Consider the following 21,984-nt stretch of genomic DNA (forward strand, 5'->3'; position numbering starts at 1 on the left):
CCCATCTCCAGATCAGAAAACACAGCCTCACTGTCTTGCACCTTCCTGTCTTGCAGTAGCCTGGAGGTGCCTCAGGGCACGAAGGTTCTACCTAGGGAATCCTTACCTCTGTCTCCAAAGGAGGTCCTGGCTAGGGGGTCTCTAGGTTCCCCAAAACTTGTTTCTGCAAAGACCTGGCCTGGGGTTTCCAGGGTCTCCTCCCTCTCTGGGGAAGGAGTCTTGGTGGGGATCTCGTGGTCCCCAGCCCCCAGGGCCCCTACTCACCGTGGGTCATCGCTGTACTGCACTGTGGCAAAGCGCACACCCTGTGCACTGGCTGCTCCAGAGAAAGGCAGCACCAGCCCTTCGAGAAAGCTGCGGACCTCGCGGAAATTGCTGCGGCCAATGGATGAGGAGCCATCCAGTAAGAACACAATGTCAGCGGCGTAAAGGCGCGTGCAGGTCACTGGGGCGGGCAGGAGAGATCAGGGCCTCTTCTGGGAGGCCAACCACCCGCCTACCCGCACGGTGGCCTCACTGGGACTTGGGATGGTGGGGAGAGTAGGCCTCATCTTATGCAAACCAGGGCCGAATCGGCCTGAGCCTGAGGGCCTTGGAGGGAGTTGAGCTCGGTGGGTCCCAGAGCAGACTCCCGCGGAGGGTTGGGGGTGTGCGGGGGAGGGAGAGTCGCCAGCACGGGTGTGGACTTGGGACTGAGGTCAGCCTCTAGGGGCCGGCGTGGATTGGCATAAGGCAGGGGACCCCGCACGCATCCAGGGAGCCAGAATTTGGGTAGGAACAGGATAGGAGGCGGTTTAGGGAACCCAGCACCGATCGCGGAGGGTTCGGGGAGTCCCAGAATTAGGAGGAATCCGCGGGGCGTCGTGGAGTTGGCTGGGTTGTGGGCGGGGGGTGTTGGGGATGAAGGCCGAGTGGAGCGGAGGGTGGCACGGTGCAGTGCCCCGGGCCGGGTCCTCCCTTGCGGTGCCCACCTCTCTCCCTGTGCTGGGCTCGCACTCGGGGCGCCTCTGCCAGGATCCCGGCGCAGAGCGCGGCCACCAGAAGCCGCAGCGTCATCCTAGGCAGTAAAAGCCGTCAGCTAGGACCCCCGCCTCTGTCCCTTGCTCCCCCGTGGCCTTGGCAGGTCCGAGCCCAGCGCCCCTCCAGCCCGAGTCCTGGTCTTGCCTGCGCGTCCGCCCGCTCCCGCCGCCGCCGCTGCAGTCTCTCGGGCAGAGCAGAGAAAAGTCCCTGATCTCGGGGGGCGGAGCGGCAGGCGGGAACCCAGGCACCCGCCCTCACCCATATCCCTGAGAGGTCGCCGCCCCCCCCACCCCTCCCCCAGACAAACGATATGACGCACTTAACTATAAACCCCCCGACCCCCCGTGGCTTCTGGGAATTTCCCAGAAGGTTCTGCATGGGCAGATGCTGAGGGAGTACCCCTAACTCCATCTAAGGTCACAGGTCTTGGCTGCTTTAGGTCAATCACAGTGACCAGGCTGAGGAGTGGACAGGTTCCTGCAGAGCCACAAGGCAGCAGCGCCGTGGGGGGTGGGGCTGCAGTTGGGGATGACTCACCCCCAATCCAGTGGGGGTGCCCAGACAAGCCCTCAGGCCATGGGTCCCGCCGGCCACTCCTGTGATTCAGCCATCTGTCTGGTGGGCCTCCTGGGCCCCACCCGGATCTCCTTGACAGGCAAGAAGCCCTGGCAAATGAGTGACTCTGGGCCGGTCTTAGGGAAACCAAGGTCCCCTTGGCCTGGATCCAAGTAACTCACCCCCTCTTTGTAGGGGATAAGCCGGAAGGAGGAGAGAACCTGTGTCATGCTTATGCATACATCCCAGTGTCCCACATCCCCTACCATGTCACAGGCAGATGCAATCCAGCTGTGCCTGCAGGGAGGGGGCCGCCCATCTGTGGAGGGCGGGACCACCCACAGTGACAGCTCATCTCTCAGGAATCGAGCCCTCCATGCCCCAGGCCAGGTCCCCCTACCTACATGTCCTCACCCACAGGCATCCTCTCCTTCCATCTACTTTTCTTGTAGGTCCCTGCCACCCATCTCCCCTACCAGGCCGAGGTCCCCTTGGGCCCCTTCCTCCTTTCCTCACTGCCCTCATGGTACCTGTAGCTTCCAGCTTCATAACTGCCCCCTACCTTACTCCTGTCCCCTTACCCAGGCTGACTTCACACCCTCCCCCAGCTTCGCTTCTGAGGCTGTGGACAGTCCTCCAACACACACCACGCCAGGGCCACTGTCCGAAGGAGGTGGGGCTCTGTATATGCATATCTCTCCATTAGATGGGTGACACTAAGGCAGAGAGGCACTGCTAAGAAGGGCAGGCCCCCATCTGGGTCCTGCTCCCCCTTTTTTTCCTGCTAATCCTGAATAACTCTGGGCAGCCCAGAAAGCACATCTATACTCACCAAGGCTGCTGGGCCCCTTCTAATATGCCCGGCCCCACAGCCTCCCCTGGGATCCACAGGGAGATATGGGGACAGCACTGGCTGGACTCCTCCACAGCCCGAGGACTCTGGTGTGGCCAGAGCTGGAGGCAGTGAAGACCATCCATGCTGCCTGCTTTCCTATTGCCCAAGGAAGGCTGGGGCTCTATCCCTTATTACTGACCCCCCAAACTATCCTGGGGCATAGTGCTATGACCTTATTCCAAGGTCAGGGTCTCCTCAGCCATGTCCCAGGACCCCCCATCCCTGCAAGGTGTGCTCCAGGTGGGGGGCTGCAGAGAACCAGGTATGTTATCACACAGGCAGCCCCTTCCCCCTAAGACTGTCACCTCCTCCCGTGCAGCCAGGGCGGGCAAGAGCAGGCCAGTGGCATGGACAGTACGGTACAGACATATGTGCACACGTGGGCCAGTCTTAGGGGAGACAGGAGGCCCAGCTGGGAGGGTGGGTGCTCAGGCAAACCTCATCAGAATTGAGGTGCCTCCAAAAGAAAGGACAGGCTGCTGTGAGAGGGTCTCTCAAAGGGTGCTGGGAGAGGCTGTTGAGAAGGTAGGAGTAAGGTTGGAATGACTCCACGTCTGGAGCTTCTATGAGACTCACGAGCAGGAGTGTGGCCCTCTGAAGCCCCAGCTCTGGCCTCCTGGGAGGAACACAGCCTAGGGCACAGCCCGAGGCCAGTGCCTACCTGCAACCCCATCAGGGCGGTGGAGCCCCCAGAGCACATCCTTCTCCCTCCCAAGCTTTCCCTGAACATTTCCTTCCCTGGCCTCAGTCACTACCTCACCCCATCTGTTTCCAACCAGGGCCTCTTTATCAGGTCCCAGCCCCACACATCCCACTGTACCCTGGACACCACCAAACTCCTCACTGGACTATGGAAGATTACCCTCCTCCAACCCACTCGTGCCTCCGCGTCTCCCAGCCCTGCTGGGAATGTAGTCCTCTTTGTGTCCCCTACAGCTGGCTCCAGTTCGTGTGGCCATGACCTCTGTTCTGCCACAGCACAGCTCACCAAGACTGATACAGAAATATGGCCTGAGAGTCCCCATGCTGAATCTCAACTCTGACCAAGTCACTTCTCTTCACAGTAACCTCCAACACACCTCCCCAGCATGGCTCCAGGGTAAAGACCAGAGTCCCTGGCTTGGTACGCAAGGTCCCTTAGAACCAGACCACTCCCAGCAACTCAAGCTCTCGTGTCCAGCACACCTGTAGCCTCTAAGGGCCAGGCTGGGCTTAGAAATGAAGCCCCATCCTCCAGGAGCTCAAACTTGACAACAGACTTGGCACTTGTTCCCCTGCCTGGGTGTTGCACCTCCATGAGCACCCAGGGTTGGGCCTGTCAGGGTTCTGCGCTGCCCAGCATCTTCTCTCCAGCCGTTCACAAAGTAGAATGATCTGCGCAATGCCCCAGTCCCGGGCCGTAGAAGGTGCTTAACAAATGTCTCCGAATTGGCAACGTATGGCAACCAATGGTGAGGGAAAGGCAGTGGGGCAGGGTGATAGTGATACAAGGGTTCCTTGGGCTACTTCCAAGCTACGATGCTGGGGGGACTTCTGAACAGCCATCTTCTAAAAGACCTTGTCCCAGCACCCTGCTTGTGACTGCCAGGCAGCGACTTCCTCAAAGGAAAATTGGGCCCCTCGCTTTCAACTTCCCCCTGGGATCCCAGAGAACCTGACTGTGGAAGCACTGGGGGGTGCAGGAGGAGCAGCCTACCTGCGCACCCACCATGGGGACCAGAGCCAAAAGAGATAACAGAGGGACTAGGTAGCTAAGAGCTGTACCAGGTCCTGGCTGCCTCAGGAAAATGGGGAGGGGATTGTCAGGCCAGCAGCTCTGGACTTGCCTGGGACAAATGTAGTAGAGGGAGGGGGCTCGGGCCCCACTGAGCTCAGGGCTATTCTTGGAGCCTGAGTCAGCGGAGGCAAAGGATTCCTGCCCTGCTTGTCCAGGCAGCAGTTAGAAACCAAATGAGAACACTATGCCCCAGGCTATCCTCCTCCCAGAATGCAGAGTAAACACACACAAGAGGCATCCTTGGAGACACCCCTTGGCCCCTTCTGGTCCACCAGGGACCACCAGGGGGTGACTTGGCACAAGGTCCACAGTGAGGGGTTTCCCACCTGAGCCTGCAGGGATTCCAGGCTGGGACTCCTACAGGGGCAAAGGCTGGGTTTACACTTCCTATGGACTCCCACAGCCCAATCTTGGGACCAGCTGGCTGAGGAACTCCCCTAAGTGGCTGAGTGGAAACATCTGGGCTCAGCTCCCTGTAGGCATCAAAGACTTCCGGCCTCAGCTGCAACCCCCACGCTTGCCCCTGGCTGAGGACACATCAGCCTGTGGGAAGGCAGGAGGATCCAGGAGCCACAGAACTAGAGGGAAGTCCTTGCTCCCCATCTACTGCCCCATGGACTCCATGCCAATGCCAAAAGAGGGATGACACACTTCTCAGCAGAGGATTTTATTGGTGGTCACCTGTGGCACAGGTTAGAGGAGCCGAAGTGCTGTGTTTGTGGTGGGGGGGGGACCACAAACCCCGGCCCTGCCCTCTTGCTTACATAGGCTTCCCGCCTAGAAGCGCAGCCAGAACATGCCGCTACGGATCCGGTTGTAGTCTGGGAGCTGCTCAATGGGGCCTGTGGGGATAGGGTGGAGCGTCAGGGTGGGGTACCTGGCCTGCACAGGGACACCTGGCCCTGTGCCGCACCCAGCTCGGAGATGCTGCCCAGAGCAGCACAAGACAGGCTTTGAGTGGAAAGAGAGGAGAGAACATTCCCCCAGGGGTGCTGAGCCTGTCCCTTCATGTTCTGGCCCTTGAAGCCCCACCCCACATGGAGGTGCCCGTTACCTGACGGGTGCAGGGTATTGATGAAGGCACCTTGGCAGGCAGTCAAGGAACTGCTGGGACAGGTTTTCTGAGCAAGAACTCCCTGGCAGCCAGGGGACTGGGGAGAGCTGCTTGGGGCCTTAACTGGCTGCTCTGTAAGCTGAGCAGCAGTGCGGGAGCAGAGGTGGAAGGGGAGGCCAAGAGAACGGCCTGAGGAAATAAACAAAGAGCAGACCCCCTAGGCCACTTACCATATCCAGCCACTGCTGGGCACTGGTCATAGATGTACTTGGAGCAGATCTCACGTACCACACTGGCATCCACCTCCTGCAGGGTGAGGCAGAGGGCATACTGGCTAACGGGCACCTGGCCACCACCTCAGCCAGTCAGCATCATCCAACTAGCAGAGATCTCCCACAGGCAGCATGCAGCTGTCCCCAGCCCAAAAGAGGAAAGGCAGAAGGGATCCCTGCTATAGACCTCCATGGGCCCCGCCCATCTCCACAGCCATCAGCACCTATGCCCTGCCCTCCCACTATGCTACCCCTGCAGGTGACAGCTGCCTAGGACACCAGGGATGCCTATAGGAGCAGGCTGCGCTATGCCAGGCCCCAACCCTACACCTCCCAGGTGTCTGCCAGGCCAAGACTCCAGAACCTCTCCCAGGGGTCCATGTTACCGCAATCCGGCTTTCCCATTCAGCCAGGGGGATGCGGCGGCCATAGGTCAGGAGGCTGCGTCCGATGTCCTCACACACAGGAGTAGTGCCTTTAAGGGTGAGAGAAGGCTCAGAGGTCCACCCAGCCCAATCCTGGACCCACAGGTACACAAACAATCTCCAGCCTCAGGTTGACAAGGACCTCCCTGACCTCATGCTGACTCAGATCACAGCCCTCTCTTCTATGGTCACCTATTATGGCAGTGATGGGCTGTGGACCTGTCTCACACCTGCCTGCATCTCCAAGGGTGGGGTGATGGGGCATGGCGTGGTCTTCAAAGTTTTCCTTTCTAACCTTGGTTAGTTAGGAGCAGTGGCCACCTTGGTGCTGTCGCTGGCAAGATGTACTCTACCCCTCCCCGCTGAGCTGTAGGACTCACCATCTAGATGAGATACCAGGGCATTTCTGAGGATGTTTTTGCCCCGGGCCACCTCACTCTCCGTGGCACTGGTACACAGGCGCATCCTAAAGTGGGGGGGTGGGTGGTATTCATTCTGAGCCAGTGTGTCATCTCTCAGCCTCCCACTGTGCTGGTTAAAGCCGCCATCCCACCTAGGAATACCAGGCTGCCACTTACCACTGCCCTTGCAGGACGAACATCATGTCATCGATTTTCATTCGGTCACAGACAAAGTGTGCACCCAGCAAGCCCGTCTCTGCATAGCAGATGCTGAAGGTCTGGAAACTCTGGCATAGCTTGTTGGCCACAGCACCTGAAGCCAGTGGGCTGGACAGGTGCTGCCAGGGGGATAGGTGGTCAGCACCCACCCTCTTGTCTTCAACGCACACTGTGACCCCCACGCACAGGAGCACACAGCCCCAGCACCCTCTCTTCCCTGAAGGCGAGGTCCCATGCTCGCGCTGGCACTCACCACGCCACCACCATAAGTGCAGTCATAGTGGCCGATGATGGCATTGGCCACTTGCAAGGCCACATTGTCCGGGCTGGCCCAGCCAGGACCCTCTACTGCAATGGCCACGTGGGCAAAAGGTAGAGCATCATCACGGTGGCGGATCTGAAACAGTACATGACAAGGCTGAGGAACAGCCAGACTGCCAGGGGAACAGAAAAGGTGGCAGGTGTGGGTAGAGGGTGTATGTGTGTGAACATGTGTGCCTGTGATGCAGCAGCCACAGAACCCCTTCCCAACTGCTGAGGTATCTCTGGAGTCACCAGGATAACCATGCACATGGGGGTCCTCCCACAGGCCCCCAGCTGAGCACTACTCCTGCCCAAAAGGCAGCATACCTCACTGCCAGTGAAGCGGCATGGAGTAAGAGTGGGCACAGCGTCCTCTGCATATGTCCATGGGATGCCACCGAGGTGCTTCTGGGCGAGGTCTAACAGTTGCTGGTGCTCCACTCCTGCTGAGACAGACAGTGGCATTACTGACCAGCCAGGGCCCAAGGCACAGGGTGGGGCGATTCACAGACAGGCAGAGGACCCCCATGTCCTGTCTTAGTGGGAGAAACCAGGAGTATGTGACATTAGAACAGGGTGAGGAAAGAAGGTCCTCCTCAGACAGACCCTGCCTTGTGGACAGGACAGGCACCTCAGGGCCAAATAGCTCCCATGGCCTCAGTCCCAGGAGAGCAAAAGCGTTCAGAGTTTCAAAATGGGCTGCCATGTGATCCAAGTGTGGGTTCTCACTTGAGAAGATGCATTCCACCTACATCAAGGACAAGACTGGTACTCCTGGGCACAAAGCCACCTGGCCTGCCTTTTCCCTCTAGCTCTCCCTCAAGTATTTCTGGCTGCTGGCCCTGCAGGGGGTGGCAAGTGAGGGGGCAGAAAGAGGAGCTATTACAGGGCTGTGATTAGCTCTTGGGTCCCCTGAGAGCTGGGGACATTTGCAAATAATGTTACAAACGTATACCCTAGGACTCCTTGGATCTTGCCTCCTCACCTCCACAAGAGGAGGGCTCTGTGGTGCCACCAGTTGCATTGGCCTTTTTTTTTTTTTTTGAGACGGAGTCTCGCTCTGTTGCCCAGGCTGGAGCACAGTGGTGCAATCTCAGCTAACTGCAAGCTCCACCTCCCGGGTCCACGCCATTCTCCTGCCTCAGCCTCCCGAGTAGCTGGGACTATAGGCGCCCGCCACCACGCCTGGCTAATTTTTTTGTATTTTCAGTAGAGACGGGGTTTCACTGTGTTAGCCAGGATGGTCTCGAGCTCCTGATCTTGTGATCCGCCCGCCTCGGCCTCCCAAAGTGCTGGGATTACAGGCGTGAGCCACCGCGCCCGGCCTGCGTTGGCCTTTCATTCCTTCCTTCCATGAGCTCAAGCCCTGCTAGTCTGACACACACGTCAGATTGCTCTTGCCCCCAGGTTCCCCAGCTCCAAAGCCCCTGGTCATGCTCTTCCTATTGGTCTTTTCTGCACACTCAGCCGCCAAGGTCATAAGCTGGGAAGCATGTTTGTTTTTTTTTTTTTTTTTGAGATGGAGTTTCACTCTGTTGTGCAGGCCGGAGTGCAGTGGTACAATCTCAGCTCGCTGCAACCTCCGTCCCCCGGGTTCAAGGGATTCTCCTGCCTCAGCCTTCCAAGTAGCTGGGATTATAGGCAACTGCCACCAAGCCTGGCTAATTTTTGTATTTTTACCAGAGACGGGGTTTTGTCACGTTGGCTGGGCTGGTCTCGAACTCCTTACCTCAGGTGATTCACCCACCTCGGCCTTCCAAAGTGCTAGGATTACAGGCGTGAGCCACCACGACCAGCCAAGATGGGAAGCACCTTGACCTCAGTTCCTTACCCATGTCCAGACCCCAACCAGGTTCCATCTATAAAACCACCTGGAGTCCATCTACTGCTCCCCCTTGCTCCTGCCATCTCCTGCCCAGTCCCTGCCACAGCCCCTCTCTAGCCAGCCTACCTGCACTGTGACCCCACACAGCAGCAGAGCAAACCTTAGACCATGACACTGCTCTTCCCCTGCGCTCAGCTCCCCACACCCCACCTAAATAACACTCACCACCTTTCAGGCTTCTGTTCAAACTACAGGTGCTTTAAAAAGCCCCTCCCCCAAACTCCAACTCTGAGTCCCCAGTGAAATCTTCCCCACCCTTCTGTGCCTTCCTTTCAAGGCACTTCTTGGTTTGTTATCAGGCATGCATCAACACACAACTAATGGCTGGCTCTCCCAAGGGCAAGGCCACAAGGAACAAGGCCAGGAGCTTACATCCCCTACCAGCCCATGAACTCAGTATCCTAGAACCAGGTGGGGCTAAGACAGACCTGTACCAGAGGGACAGCATCCTGTGTAACCAGTCCCAGTGGTGGCGGCAGGGTAGAATCCTATCCCACCTCAGAGAGCACAGGAGGAAGGTCATTCCCCTCAAGGTTAGGGTGGGAGCAGAGTCCCCTGGGGTGAAAGGTCCCCTATGGTGGGAACCAGGACCTCGGCTTTGATAACCAAGGCTGGGACCCCACTACCCAGGACTTCAGTGATTCCATCACTCACCTCCAGCTGCTGCCAGCACCATTCGAGGGGCCTTGTAATGTGTGCTGAGGTACTCGGTCAAGTCTGCACGAGACAGCTTCCTACAAGACATATGGTCAGTGTGTCAACACCTCTACCACACTGGAGTGAGTTGGGGTACATGCATGAATGGGACTGAGGAGGCAGACTAGGAGAGGCATGGTTTCTCCGAAGAGTGGGCCCTAGCACACTCCCCAACCCCCTTCCCCTGTCTCTGCCACCCACCCCTCCAGGGCCCAGAGGGCAACCCTTGTCTGCCCTTGCCTCATGCCTGACTTCAGGACAGGCTCATAGTCTTCTCTGAGAAGGCGTGAGCCAACACTGTGGGACTCTCAAAAGGGCAGCATCAAAGCTCCCGGAGCCATCCACAAAGGAGACAAGAGACCACATGGAGGGGACACCCAGACACTTCGCCCTTGGACTGTCAGGACATGCACCAAAACATACCTTAAAACAAAGCCCAAAATTCAAGTGAAGCCCACAAAGCCATTAAAAAAGACTCACTGGACCACATGGATACAGAAACTGTCTCCAGTTGCATAACTCAGGAAAATAACCCCGACAGCTAGCCAACTAAAAATGTGACCTGGAAAGGGTCTGGCCAGGCCAGAATGGAGCAAGCATCCCCCCACAAGGCCAGCCAACTCTCACCTGACATTCTCACTGGGCCCCTCCACAGCCTGGGCTAGAGGTGTGCCCTGGAATGCTGTGGCATGCAGGTAGTTAAAGACCACATCTCGCATAGATGCATCATTCTCCTGCATCTCCCGCAGGATCACATCACGTTCCTTCTCAATCTGTGAGTCTTCCAGACTACAGTTCTGCACAATGTCACCCAGGAGCTCCACAGCTAGATGCAAGGAGGACATGTTTAGGTGCCAGGTGGACCACTGCAGACCAACGACAGCACAAAATCCCCAGGCCTGGCATCTCCTGCTGCCCACCCCTAGTTGCCCAGCTGCAAAGCCATACGCTAAGGGTAATATGATTCTGTGGTCAGCCAGGGGCTCCTAGGTAGCTGTCCTCTGCTTCCCTGCCCTCTGTCCCCGCCTCTTCCTCCAGGTGTTACCTTTCGGCAGATCCTTGGACAGCGCCTTGATGTAGTAAGCTGTGTGCTCCCGGGTGCTGTAGGCATTAAGATGGGCCCCCATGCTCTCCACCTCCTTCTCCAGGGCACTGCCAGGCCGATTCTTTGTTCCCTGGAACCAGATATCAACCAGAACAATCAGGAGCTACACAGGAACCCAAGAACCCTGTCCTCAGAGGCTAAACACCCAGCAGGACCACTGGTCCACAGGTACCTCCCTCAGCATAGACTCTGGGGACACAGATCCCAGAGTCTGTTTACCAAGCACTAAGCAGGCCTTGAGGTGACCAAAACCATGGCATCATGCGCCAACAGAACAGAGATAGCCAGGGCCAGGACTGAAGGGCATGGCCAGAGCAAGTGTTGCCTAAAGCTCCTGTAACAGCTTACCAACAAGCTGTGGGGATCATTACCAGTACACCTCCCCCCTCCTTATTGACAGCCATGGTCAGGTAAGCCCACACCTGTGTTCAAGTGATAGAACCCACTCCTCCCATGCCATTCCCATGACTGTATGTTTGTGAATACATGCTAGTGGCCTCTGTGGGACCCAATCCTAGTCCTGTGTGTGGAGAACAGTGGTGCTATCTCTTGGTGTGCACACACACGTTAATTCTGCACACATACCTGTGACATTGCAGCTGGCTAGGTTGCCTACTATGGCTCCATGGCCCTGCCCACCCCATAATCCTTCTCCATGTTTTTCATTCCTTTAAAAAACATGGGTCTTTACAACCAAGGGATGCCTAGATATTCCACCAGAGAAGAACATTTCATAAGCAAGCATGCATGCCCATGTCTGTGGGTTTGTTAAAATGCATGTGCATATCTACGTGTGTTCCACAGGCCTGGCTTCTCTGGTGAAAAGTGGGGCTCCTATGGTTCCTTGGGTCCTCTTGGCTCTGAGGGCCTCAGGCAGGGGCTCATCAGATACGTGCCCACTCAGGAGAGGTTAAGCTCATGTGGCTCCTTTTAGGAAAGCCAGCCAGACATCAGCCCCGCAACTGAGGCCCATAATCAGGCTAATTTTTCTGACCTTCATCCTCAGGAGGGACAACAGGCAGCCCTAAGCCCAGAGGAGACAGACTTTAAGAGCCTCACCTTGAAAGCCAGATGCTCCAAAAAGTAGCCTGCCCCATTATTCTTCTCAGTCTCAAAACGGCTGCCAACATCAATCCACACTCCCACCTGGTCAAGAAGCCACCAGAAAAGGTTACAAACAAACCACTCCCCAGCCCCCTACTCACACCCCACCTGAGTGACTCAGTACAAGCCCCAGGCAGGGACTTATGAATCCTGGAGTCAGGGAGAGCTGCCCCAGCAGGACCCCTGTGCTTGGGGACACAGTCATGCTTGGAAAACAGGGGCAGCCGAATGACTCGTCACACCACATCATTGCTCTCCTGATTGGCTATCAAGGACCCACAGGGACACTTCTAACTGTGCACATTTACCTGGTCTCACCAGCATACAAATCCTTAAATTCACTCTCAATTTTCAGTTAATTATTTGTTTTTGTCTAAGCATACAACATATCATTTGCAAATAACAACTTATTTTTTCCTTTCTAAAAATTACACGCTGCCTTTGTTCTGGCAATGATTTTATCCTTTCATCATTAAGGAAGGGACTATTGGTTTAGACTGTATATTTTATCACACTAAATATTGTTCCTATAATATCTTTTTTGTTGTTGTTTTTAATCAGCTCTGAACACCAAACAGTGTTGCCTTGGCACCCAATAAGGTAATATTAATTTTCTTGACAGCCTCCTGGTTGCTGTGAAACACGCACCACAGGCTGGGCGCGGTGGCTTATACCTGTAATCCCAGCACTTTGGGAGGCCAAGGCAGGTGGATTACGAGGTCAGCAGTTCGAGACCAGCCTGGCCAATATAGTGAAACCCTGTCTCTACTAAAAATACAAAAATTAGCCAGGTGTGGTGGCACGTGCCTGTAGTCCTAGCTACTTGGGAGGCTGAGGCAGAATTGCTTGAACCCAAGAGGCAGAGGATGTAGTGAGCCAAGATCGTGCCACTGCACTCCAGCCTGGGTGACAGAGAGACTCCATCTCAAAAAAAAAAAAAAAATGTAAAAGAAACACGTACCACTCACCCCACTTGGTCACACGGTCTAGTCTTTTAATTTACTATTTGTTCACAGCTGATTTAAGTTTTTCACATCTACTTTCCTAAGTACTTTTTTTTTTTTTTGACATGGAGTCTCACTCTGTCACGAGACGAGTGCAGTGGTGTGATGTCGGCTCACTCAACCTCTGCTTCCTGGGTTCAAGTGATTCTCCCGCCTCAGCCTCCCGAGTAGCTGGAACTACAGGCGTGCACCACCACGCCCAGCTAATTTTTGTTTTTTTGTGTGTGTGTGTTTTTTTTTTGAGACGGAGTCTCGCTCTGTCACCCAGGCTGGAGTGCAGTGGTGCGATCTTGGCTCACTGCAAGCTCTGCCTCCCAGGTTCATGGCATTCTCCTGCCTCAGCCTCCCGAGTAGCTGGAACTACAGGCGCCCGCCACCACGCCCGGCTAATTTTTTGTATTTTTAGTAGAGACGGGGTTTCACCGTGTTAGCCAGGATGGTCTCAATCTCCTGACCTTGTGATTCGCCCGCCTCGGCCTCCCAAAGTGCTGGGATTACAGGCGTGAGCCACCGCGTCTAGCCTAATTTTTGTATTTTTAGTAGAGGCGGGGTTTCACCATGTTGGCCAGGATGGTCTCAATCTCTTGACCTCGTGATCCGCCTGCCTCGGTCTCCCAAAGTGCTGGGATTATAGGCATGAGCCACTGCGCCCAGCCAAGACTTTTTTTTATTGTATAAATTTATGGGGTACAAGCACAATTTTTAGAAATTTCTATCCACACCTGAAACTCCATTTTTTTCTTTTTTTTTTTTTTTAAGACAGAGGGCCTTGCTCTGTCACCCAGGCCAGAGTACAGTGACATAATCATGGCTCACTGCAACCTCTTATTCCTGGGCTCAATCGATCCTCCTGCTTTGGCCTCTCAAAGCCCTGGAATTACTGGTGTAAGCCACTGTGCCCCGCCCACAAGTGTGATGTCATTACAGGCACAGAATGCACAAGTAGTCAAATCAGGGATTCTGAATTATCCATCACCAGAATAACAAACCTTGTACCCATTAAGTAATTTCTTTTTTTTTTTTTGAGATGGACTCTCGCTCTCTCACCCAGGCTGGAGTGCAGTGGCTCCATCTCGGCTCACTGCAATCTCTGCCTCCCGGGTTCAAGCGATTCTCTTGCCTCAGTCTCCCCAGGAGCTGGGATTACAGGCGTGTGCCATGCATGGCTAATTTTTGTATTTTTAGTAGAGATGGGGCTTCACTATGTTTGCCAGGCTGGTCTTGAACTCCTGGCCTCAGCTGATCCGCCTGCCTTGGTCTCCCAAAGTGCTGAGATTACAGGTGTGAGCCTCCAGGCCTGGACCCATTAAGTAGTTTCTCATCATCCACCCCTTCATCCTTCCAAGTCTTCACTGTCCATCATTCCACTCTCTACATCTGTATGTACGTATTTTTTAGCTCCCACTGATAAGTGAGAACATGTGATATTTGCTTTCCTAAGAGATGTCAATGCATATACCATATATCACACAATCTTAGATGAACATGTATTTCACATCTAACATCTTGGAATGCAAGAGGCATTTTACAATCTATAGTATCCTTTGATTAAAATTGGCAAGATTCTTGAGATTCTTTCTCTGGCACTGGAGCACAGACAGCTCCTTACAATCTAGCACATTTTAGAGTTCATGTAATATAGCATTCTTTACTATAACAAGTGACATATAACAAGGAAGTTGCAGGCCACCTTTTCCTATGCTTAGTAACAATTTAAATCGCAGGACATTGTTTCTGGAAAACTAAAAGGATGTGTCAATAAAAACATCTGGCCCTGGGGCTGGGGGCTGAAAGGAGGAGGAGATAATTATTTCTTGGGAATCTTCTCACCTATTCATATATCTATCTGTGACTCAAGATTTCTTGTGTCAATTTAGAGAATTTGTATTTTTTGGAAAATCACACATTTCATTGTACTGTTAAAATGCATTTGCTTCCTAAAATGTATTTCTGGTCTAGCCTGGAGATTATGACCTTGGGCAGTGAGGCTGACAGACCTGGACCCCTGCAAGTCACCTAAGGTGTCTGAATCCCATTTTCCGCATTATAAGAGGAGACATGATCACTTCCCTTATATGGGCTCCTTAACAAAAGGCTGGAAAAGAATTTGGCCGCCTACTTAACGGGCATTATATGCTAAATAATGTTGGCTTATAGTGAAGATTGTCCCGTGAAGCCAAGGCGTGGCTAGGGTAGGGAATGGGGCCATTCTCGGGGTGAGTGGTCCTGGGTCCGAACCCAAACCACAAACGGGAAGACTCGAGCCCAAGGTCACACCCCAACCAGGGAAAAGACGGCAGGCCCAACCTGGAGGCCCTCTCCCCAAAAGCGTCCCCAACTCACCGTGCAAGTGGGCTGAGAGGACTGCTCGGAGGCCACACGCAGGCCGTTGTCCAGCAGGCTAACCTGCGTCTCCGGCACGAACTGGAGCGCCTGAGCGAAGGTTGCCGTACTCCGCAAGGCTGGCGTCCGCAGCAGGGCCGGCTGTGGAAGGGAACAGCCGCGAGTGAGGACTCGGTCAGGGGATCGCTCCCCACCTCCCAGGTCCTCAGGAGGACCCCCGAACCCCGCCCCTAGGCAAGCGGCGAGATACCTTTCCCCGCCCTCCGCCGTGACCTTCCCACGGCCCTGACCCCGCGTCCTCCCCACCTCGACCTGCCACTGCTAACAGCCCACACCTGTCCGCTTCCCGAAGCCCTGTCCCGAAGCCCCGCGCTCTCGCCACCACCTCACCGAGCGGCGGGCGCGCAATAGCACTTGTGCCCCGGCGGTAGCGGCCCGACAGACCACGGACGCCGCCATCTTCCAGCTGCAGTCGGCCCTGTTGCGCCGCGCAAGCGTAGACTGGGCGCGTTGGCGGTCGCGGCGCAGGCGCAGTACCGTACAGTTGGTGCTCGGCCGCCTCCTGGCGGGAACCGGGACAGTCTATTGTGCTGGCCTGGCTTTGGCTGACTGGCTCTGACCGCGCTGCCGCCAGTCCCTGCGCACATCAGTCCACCTGCCGTCCATCAGCCCGAGCAGGTCCGCCCGCCGTGCAGTCCATCTCCCCATTCCACGCGTGGAAGTCAGAGTGCATTATGTTTCTCACCAGCCGCGCTGCGTACTGAGGTCTGGCGGGCGGGGAGTTGCAGCCACAGCGTGTCCGCAGGTTCGAGCCCAGGGCTAAAGTACCAGCGTGGAAACTTACCTGGGACCACAAGTTGGTGCTGAAAGTCAGTATTTTTTTCTCTTTATTTATTTTTTATTTTCTGAGACAGGGTCTCGCTCTGTCGCCCAGGCTGGAGTGCAATGGCGCGATCTCGGCTCACTGCAACCTCCGCCTCCCGGCTTCAAGCGATTCTCCTGCCTCAGCCTCCCGAGTAGCTGGGATTATGCCCGGTAATTTTTGTTTCTTTAGAAGAGACAAGGTTTCTCCATGTTGGCCAGTTTTGCGCCCTGCCAGTTTTCTCTTTAAAAGAACTAAGTACAGGCCGGGAGCGGTGGCTCACTCCTGTAATCCCAACACTTTGGGAGGCCGAGGCAGGTGGATCACTTGAGGCGAGGAGTCCAAGACCAGCCTGGCCAACATGGTGAAACCTTTCCTTTTCTGTAAGAGGAAAAAGAATTCTGGCTGGGTGCAGTGGCTCATGCCTGTAATCCCAGCACTTTGGAAGGCCGAGGTGGGCGGATCACCTGAGGTCGGGAATTTGAGACCAGCCTGACCGACATGGAGAAACCCCGTCTCTACTAAAAATACAAAAGTAGACGGGCGTGGTGGCGCATGCCTGTAATCCTAGCTACTCCAGAGGCTGAGGCAGGAGAATCACTTGAACCCGGGAGGCGGAGGTTGCGGTGAGCCGAGATCGCGCCATTTCCAGCCTGGGCAACAAGAGCGAAACTCCGTCTCAAAAAAAAAAAAAAAAAAAAAAAAAGACTTCTAAGGTATGCTTTGTTATGTCAACTAAAGAAAAAAAAAAACAAGCTTTTAAATATTTAAAGTTAGTTCTATTCAGAAGTCTTACCAAGAATTGCAACCCGGGAGAGCCTTTCAGGGAGTTTCTGCTAGACTGCTCCAAAGCAGTGTTTCCGACAGTTTATACACTGGTGGTGGCGGCTCTCCATGTGCTCAGAAATTACATCAAATGTGCTCAGAAGTTACATTAGAGCATAAATCTCATCAAGGTTTGGGTGCAAGAGTACATCTGTTTATAGGTCACAGAAGCATAATCATTAATCCTGTCAGACAGTATCTTAAGTACAGGAAGAGGCAAGGGCTAGGATCATTGCATTTTTTACCATGTTGGCCAGGCTGATATCAAACTCCTGGCCTCAAGCAATCCACCCACCTCAGCCTCCCAAAGTGCTAGGATTACAGGGGTGAGCCACCACACCTTACCCAAAAACTACTCTTATACTTAAAATAAAACTATCTTTATAAAAATCATGCCAGATGCCATGACCACAGGCTCTCACACCACACCCAGCTAATTTTTTTTTATTTTTTGTGGAGACGGGGGTCTCATTATGTTGCCCAGGCTGATCTTAAACTCCTGAGCTCAAGTGATCCTCCTACCTCAGCCTCCCAAAGTGCTGGGATTACAGTCATGAGCCACCGTGCCAGGCTGACTTTATTTCTTATAAAGGGTTACAACCTGCAGGCTGGGAGGTGGGCTTCTGGTCAAAACCAGAGACAGACCCTTAAAAAGAGGCAGGAGCTTTATGTCGAATGGCTTGGCTAAACATACATATTCGGCCGGGCACGGTGGCTCACACCTGTAATCCCAAACTTTGGGAGGCCGAGGTGGGCGGATCACAAGGTCAGGAGATTGAGACCATCCTGGCTAACATGGTGAAACCCCGTCTCTACTAAAAATACAAAAAATCTGCCAGGCATGATGGCATGTGCCTATAATCCCAGCTACTCGGGAAGCTGAGGCAGAAGAATCGCTTGAACCTGGGAGGCGGAGGTTGCAGTGAGCCGAGATCGCGCCACTGCACTCCAGCCTGGGTGACAGAGCGAGACTCTGTCTCAAAAAAGAAAAAACAAAAACAAAAAATACCATATTCAACAGGTTACAGGAAGAGCTATAGATACTCATGAAGGGGGTCCTAATGCAAGTATACTGAATAAACATGTGTGTTGTATATGACCCATGTTCACTTTGGGGTGGAGACTTAACATTGAAATACATTACAGGCCGGGTGCGGTGGCTCACGCCTATAATCTCAGCACTTTGGGAAGCCGAGGTGGGTGGCTCACGAGGTCAGAAGATCAAGACCATCCTGGCCAACACAGTAAAACCCCGTCTCTACTAAAAATACAAAAATTAGCTGGGCGTGGTGGCGTATGCCTGTAGTCCCAGCTACTCAGGAGGGTGAGGAAGGAGAATCACTTGAAACCGGGAAGCGGAGGTTGCAGTGAGCCAAGATCGCACCACTGCACTCCAGCCTGGGCTACAGAGGGAGACTCCATCTCAAAAAAAAAAAAAAAAAAGAAAAGAAATACAATTAGCACCATATGTCAAAATGAAGGATACAAAAGCACTCAGTGCACAGGTTCCATAAACCAACTGAAGCCAGTCCCTGGTCAGTGGTCTCTTATTAGGAAAAAGTCACCAAAATCCATCTCTTGTGCAATCAAAGCTATAGTTATGGCTTGTGGGGTCAGTGTCTGGTGATGGATGAACTGCAATTGTTTCTATATTGCTTATCTCAAGGCCAGTGCTTGTTTAGCTGCTGGAGAAAAAGAAAAACCTTGCAGCAGTTAGAACATAGTTTATTCTTTGGTGAACGGCTTAACTCTTGCCTGGCATGGCCTTAATGTCTTGTTTATACTTTGGTATCTTATTGCTACAAAGGGTTCATTCTCTCAGTCTTATGATCTCTATTTTTTTCTTTCTTTTTTGAGACAGAGTCTCATTCTGTCACCCAGGCTGGAGTGCAGTGGCAGGATCTCTGCTCACTGCAACCTCCATCTCCCAGGTTCAAGCAATTCTCCTGCCTCGGCCTCCCGAGTAGCTGGAACTGCAGGCACATGCCAACATCGCTAATTTTTGACAGAGTCTCATTCTGTCACCCAGGCTGAAGTGCAGTGGCGTGATCTTGGCTCACTGCAACCTCAGCCTCCTGGATTCAAGCAATTCTCCTGCCTCAGCCTTCCAAGTAGCTGGGACGCCACACGCCACCATGCCCTGGCTCAAGTGATCCTTCTACCTCAGGCTCCTGAGTAGCTGGGAACACAGGTGCACACCATCATACCCAGCTAACTTTTATATTTTTTGTAGAGACAGGATTTCACTATGTGGCCCAGGCTGGTCTCAAACTCCAGGCTCAAGTGAGCCTCCTGCCTTGGCCTCCCAAAGTGCTGGGACTACAGATGTGAGCCACCGCCCCTGGACGTGATCTCTTTTTTTTTTTTTTTTGAGATGGAGTCTCGCTCTGTTGCCAGGCTGGAGTGCAGTGGCATGATCTTGGCTCACTGCAACATCCGCCTCCTGGGTTCAAGCGATTCTCCTGCCTCAGGCTCCCAAGTAGCTGGGACTAAGGCATGTGCCACCACACCCAGCTAATTTTTGTAGTTTTAGTAGAGATGGGATTTCACCATGTTGGCCAGGATGGTCTCGATCTCTTGACCTCGTGATCTGCCAAAGTGCTGGGATTACAGGCATGAGCTACCACGCCCGACCTTTTTTATTTTTGAGACCGAGTTTCGCTCTTGTTGCCCAGGTTGGAGTGCAATGGCGCAATCTTATCAGCAACCTCTGCCTCCCGGGTTCAAGCGATGCTCATGCCTCAGTCTCCCGAGTAGCTGGGACTACAGGCATGTGCCATCACGCCTAGCTAATTTTGTATTTTTAGTAGAGATGGGGTTTCTCCATGTTAGTCAGGCTGGTCTCAAACTCCCAACCTCAGGTGATCCACCCACCTTGGCCTCCCAAAGTGCTGGGATTACAGGTGTGAGCCACCGCACCCGGCCTGCCTGCTTCCTTTCCTTCCTTCCTTCCTTCCCTCCCTCCTTCCTTTCCTTCCTTCCTTCCTCCCTTCCTTTCTCTCTCTTTCTTTTTTTTTTTTGAGAGGGTCTGGCTTTCTGTCACTCAGGCTGGAATGCAGTGGTGTGATCATGGCTCACTGCAGCCTCAACCTTCCAGCTCAAGCCATCTTCCCACTCCAGCCTCCTGAGTAGCTGGAACTATATAGGCATGCACCATCACACCCAGCTAATTTTTAAAAACATTTTTCTAGAGATGGGGTCTCACTATATTCCCCAGTCTGGTCTTGAACTCCTAGGCTCAAGTGATCCTCCCACCTCAGCCTCCCAAATGAAATATTCCTAAACCCAGTCACCTAGCCTCCCTACCTATACCCACTGCTACCCTGGGCTAAGAAGGGAAGGCCATTGAAGTAGGAGACAACTAGGAAGTCTGATGCTGGTTGGGAACGATGCGTTTCAAGGGGTTGGTCAAAACAGGAAATATTACTAAAAGGTTAAGTGCAAGCAGTGATCATTGCAATAATTTTGCAACAGTGTTTGGTGACTCATTGATTCTCTGGAATTTACTTGGTATATAGAGTGAGGTAAGGTCAAAATATCCTCTCTCCCCCTAAAAGGCAAACTAAATTTTGTAACACCGTTTCTTGATGAGGCCCTGTTTCCCTACCCATCTCTGTTGTTCCCTCTATCATCCCATAGATTCTCAAACTTGTACCAGGTCCATGCAGGCTGTGTTCTGTAGGGAGGGCTCTGGCACTCAACTTACCCTTCTTACTCTGTTTGATACATTCACCTATTTATTCTTCTAGATGTTTCTTTTTATTTTTTAAATTTACTTTTAATTTTTTTAAATAGAGATGGGATTTTGCCACATTACCCAGCTTGGTCTCGAACTCCTGGGCTCAAGTGATTCTCCTGCCTTGGTCTCACAAAGTGCTGGGATTACAGGCATGAGCCACTGCACGCAGCTTTTTTTTTTTTTTTTTTTTTGAGACGGAGTTTGCTCTTGTTGCTCAGGTTGGATGGAGTGCAGTGGTGTGATCTAGGCTCACTGCAACCTCCACCTCCTGGTTCAAGCAAGTCTCATGCCTCAGCCTCCCAAGTAGCTGGGATTACAGGGGCCTGTCTCCATGCACAGATAGTTTTTGTATTTTTAGTAGAGACAAGGTTTCACCATCTTGACCAGGCTGGTCTCGAACTCCTGACCTCAGGTGATCCGCCCACCTCAGCCTCCCAAAGTCCTGGGATTACAGGCGTGAGCCACCACGCCTGCCTGTTCTATTCATTATTGAAAGTGGGGGGTTGAAATATGAACTATAATTGTAGAGCTGACTACTTTCAATTCTGATAATTTTTGTTTCATTATTTTTGGGGCTCCGTTAGGCACATAAATGTTTCTAATTGTCATATTGCCTTGTTTTGAAACTTTTATTAGGTGGGTGGATCACCTCAGGTCAGGAGTTCAAGACCAGCCTGACCAACATGGATAAACCCCGTCTCTACTAAAAATACAAAATTAGTAGGGCATGGTGGCGCATGCCTGTAATCCCAGCTACTCAGGAGGCTGAGGCAGGAGAATTGCTTGAACCCGGGAGGCAGAGGCTGTGGTGAGCCAAGATCATGCCATTGCACTCCAGCCTGGGCAACAAGAGCGAAACTCTGTCTCAAAAAAAAAAAAAGGCTGGGCGCAGTGGCTTACGCCTGTAATCCCAGCACTTTGGGAGGCCAAGGCAGGAAGATCACGAGGTCAGGAGACAGAGACCATCCTGGCTAACACAGTGAAACCCCGTCTCTACTAAAAATACAAAAAAAATGCCGGGCGCGGTGGCTCACGCCTGTAATCCCAGCACTTTGGGAGGCCGAGGCGGGCGGATCACGAGGTCAGGAGATCGAGACCATCCCGGCTAAAACGGTGAAACCCCGTCTCTACTAAAAATACAAAAAATTAGCCGGGCGTAGTGGCGGGCGCCTGTAGTCCCAGCTACTTGGGAGGCTGAGGCAGGAGAATGGCGTGAACCCGGGAGGCAGAGCTTGCAGTGAGCCGAGATCCCGCCACTGCACTCCAGCCTGGGCGACAGAGCGAGACTCCGTCTCAAAAAAAAAAAAAAAAAAAAAAAAGTACAAAAAAAATTAGCTGGGTATGGTGGCAGACACCTGTAGTCCCGGCTACTCAGGAAGCCGAGGCTGGAGAATGGCATGAACCCAGGAGGCAGAGGTTGCAGTGAGCCGAGATTGCGCCACTGCACTCCTGCCTAGGCGACAAAGTGAGACTCCGTCTCAAAAAAAAAAAGCAATTTTT

The 21,984-nt window shown here is 53.4% G+C and overlaps 2 protein-coding genes and 1 non-coding gene across 15 annotated transcripts in view, besides 6 other annotated features; all 3 read right to left on the reverse strand.

Annotated features, from left to right (window-relative positions):
* Positions 1–1,226, reverse strand: part of COL7A1 (collagen type VII alpha 1 chain) — a 31,257-nt gene extending 30,031 nt beyond the window's left edge. For all 13 annotated transcript variants that reach the window (XR_001740005.2, XR_001740004.2, XR_001740003.2 and 10 more), the window contains exons 1-3: positions 1,165–1,226; positions 972–1,057; positions 265–445 (exon numbers count right to left, since the gene is read on the reverse strand). Coding sequence is in view for 6 of the 13 variants with exons in the window: in XM_017005688.2 (XP_016861177.1) it covers positions 265–445; positions 972–1,056 (266 nt within the window). In the remaining 7 variants the exon portion in view is untranslated. The remainder of the gene's footprint in view (positions 1–264; positions 446–971; positions 1,058–1,164) is intronic.
* On the reverse strand, positions 4,899–15,543 carry UQCRC1 (ubiquinol-cytochrome c reductase core protein 1). The gene is made up of 13 exons (NM_003365.3): positions 15,449–15,543; positions 15,059–15,199; positions 11,667–11,753; positions 10,548–10,677; positions 10,130–10,328; positions 9,461–9,540; positions 7,249–7,364; positions 6,872–7,015; positions 6,577–6,737; positions 6,379–6,464; positions 5,960–6,048; positions 5,532–5,607; positions 4,899–5,089 (listed from the first exon to the last, which is right to left on the reverse strand). The coding sequence occupies exons 1-13, from the start codon at positions 15,515–15,517 to the stop codon at positions 5,025–5,027; spliced, it is 1,443 nt and encodes a 480-aa protein (NP_003356.2). The 5' UTR covers positions 15,518–15,543; the 3' UTR covers positions 4,899–5,024.
* Positions 6,929–7,429: an enhancer, noted in NCBI's record as "H3K4me1 hESC enhancer chr3:48638465-48638965 (GRCh37/hg19 assembly coordinates)". NCBI's record gives its function as "activates a minimal SCP1, AML or CMV promoter by ChIP-STARR-seq in primed H9 embryonic stem cells {active_cell/tissue: H9 hESC(primed)}" and the evidence as "EXISTENCE:reporter gene assay evidence [ECO:0000049][PMID:30033119]".
* Positions 10,817–11,047, reverse strand: SNORA94 (small nucleolar RNA, H/ACA box 94). The gene has a single exon (NR_132776.1). It is a non-coding gene; the product is annotated as a small nucleolar RNA, H/ACA box 94 (small nucleolar RNA).
* Positions 15,164–15,263: a silencer, noted in NCBI's record as "silent region_14334". NCBI's record gives its function as "represses an Ori minimal core promoter by ATAC-STARR-seq in GM12878 lymphoblastoid cells {active_cell/tissue: GM12878}" and the evidence as "EXISTENCE:reporter gene assay evidence [ECO:0000049][PMID:35858748]".
* Positions 15,434–15,533: an enhancer, noted in NCBI's record as "active region_19838". NCBI's record gives its function as "activates an Ori minimal core promoter by ATAC-STARR-seq in GM12878 lymphoblastoid cells {active_cell/tissue: GM12878}" and the evidence as "EXISTENCE:reporter gene assay evidence [ECO:0000049][PMID:35858748]".
* Positions 15,613–16,127: an enhancer, noted in NCBI's record as "H3K27ac hESC enhancer chr3:48647149-48647663 (GRCh37/hg19 assembly coordinates)". NCBI's record gives its function as "activates a minimal SCP1, AML or CMV promoter by ChIP-STARR-seq in naive and primed H9 embryonic stem cells {active_cell/tissue: H9 hESC(naive and primed)}" and the evidence as "EXISTENCE:reporter gene assay evidence [ECO:0000049][PMID:30033119]".
* Positions 15,824–15,933: an enhancer, noted in NCBI's record as "active region_19839". NCBI's record gives its function as "activates an Ori minimal core promoter by ATAC-STARR-seq in GM12878 lymphoblastoid cells {active_cell/tissue: GM12878}" and the evidence as "EXISTENCE:reporter gene assay evidence [ECO:0000049][PMID:35858748]".
* Positions 19,643–20,142: an enhancer, noted in NCBI's record as "H3K4me1 hESC enhancer chr3:48651179-48651678 (GRCh37/hg19 assembly coordinates)". NCBI's record gives its function as "activates a minimal SCP1, AML or CMV promoter by ChIP-STARR-seq in primed H9 embryonic stem cells {active_cell/tissue: H9 hESC(primed)}" and the evidence as "EXISTENCE:reporter gene assay evidence [ECO:0000049][PMID:30033119]".

Source organism: Homo sapiens, chromosome 3 (assembly GCF_000001405.40).
Source record: "Homo sapiens chromosome 3, GRCh38.p14 Primary Assembly".
Classification (NCBI taxonomy): Eukaryota; Metazoa; Chordata; class Mammalia; order Primates; family Hominidae; genus Homo; species Homo sapiens.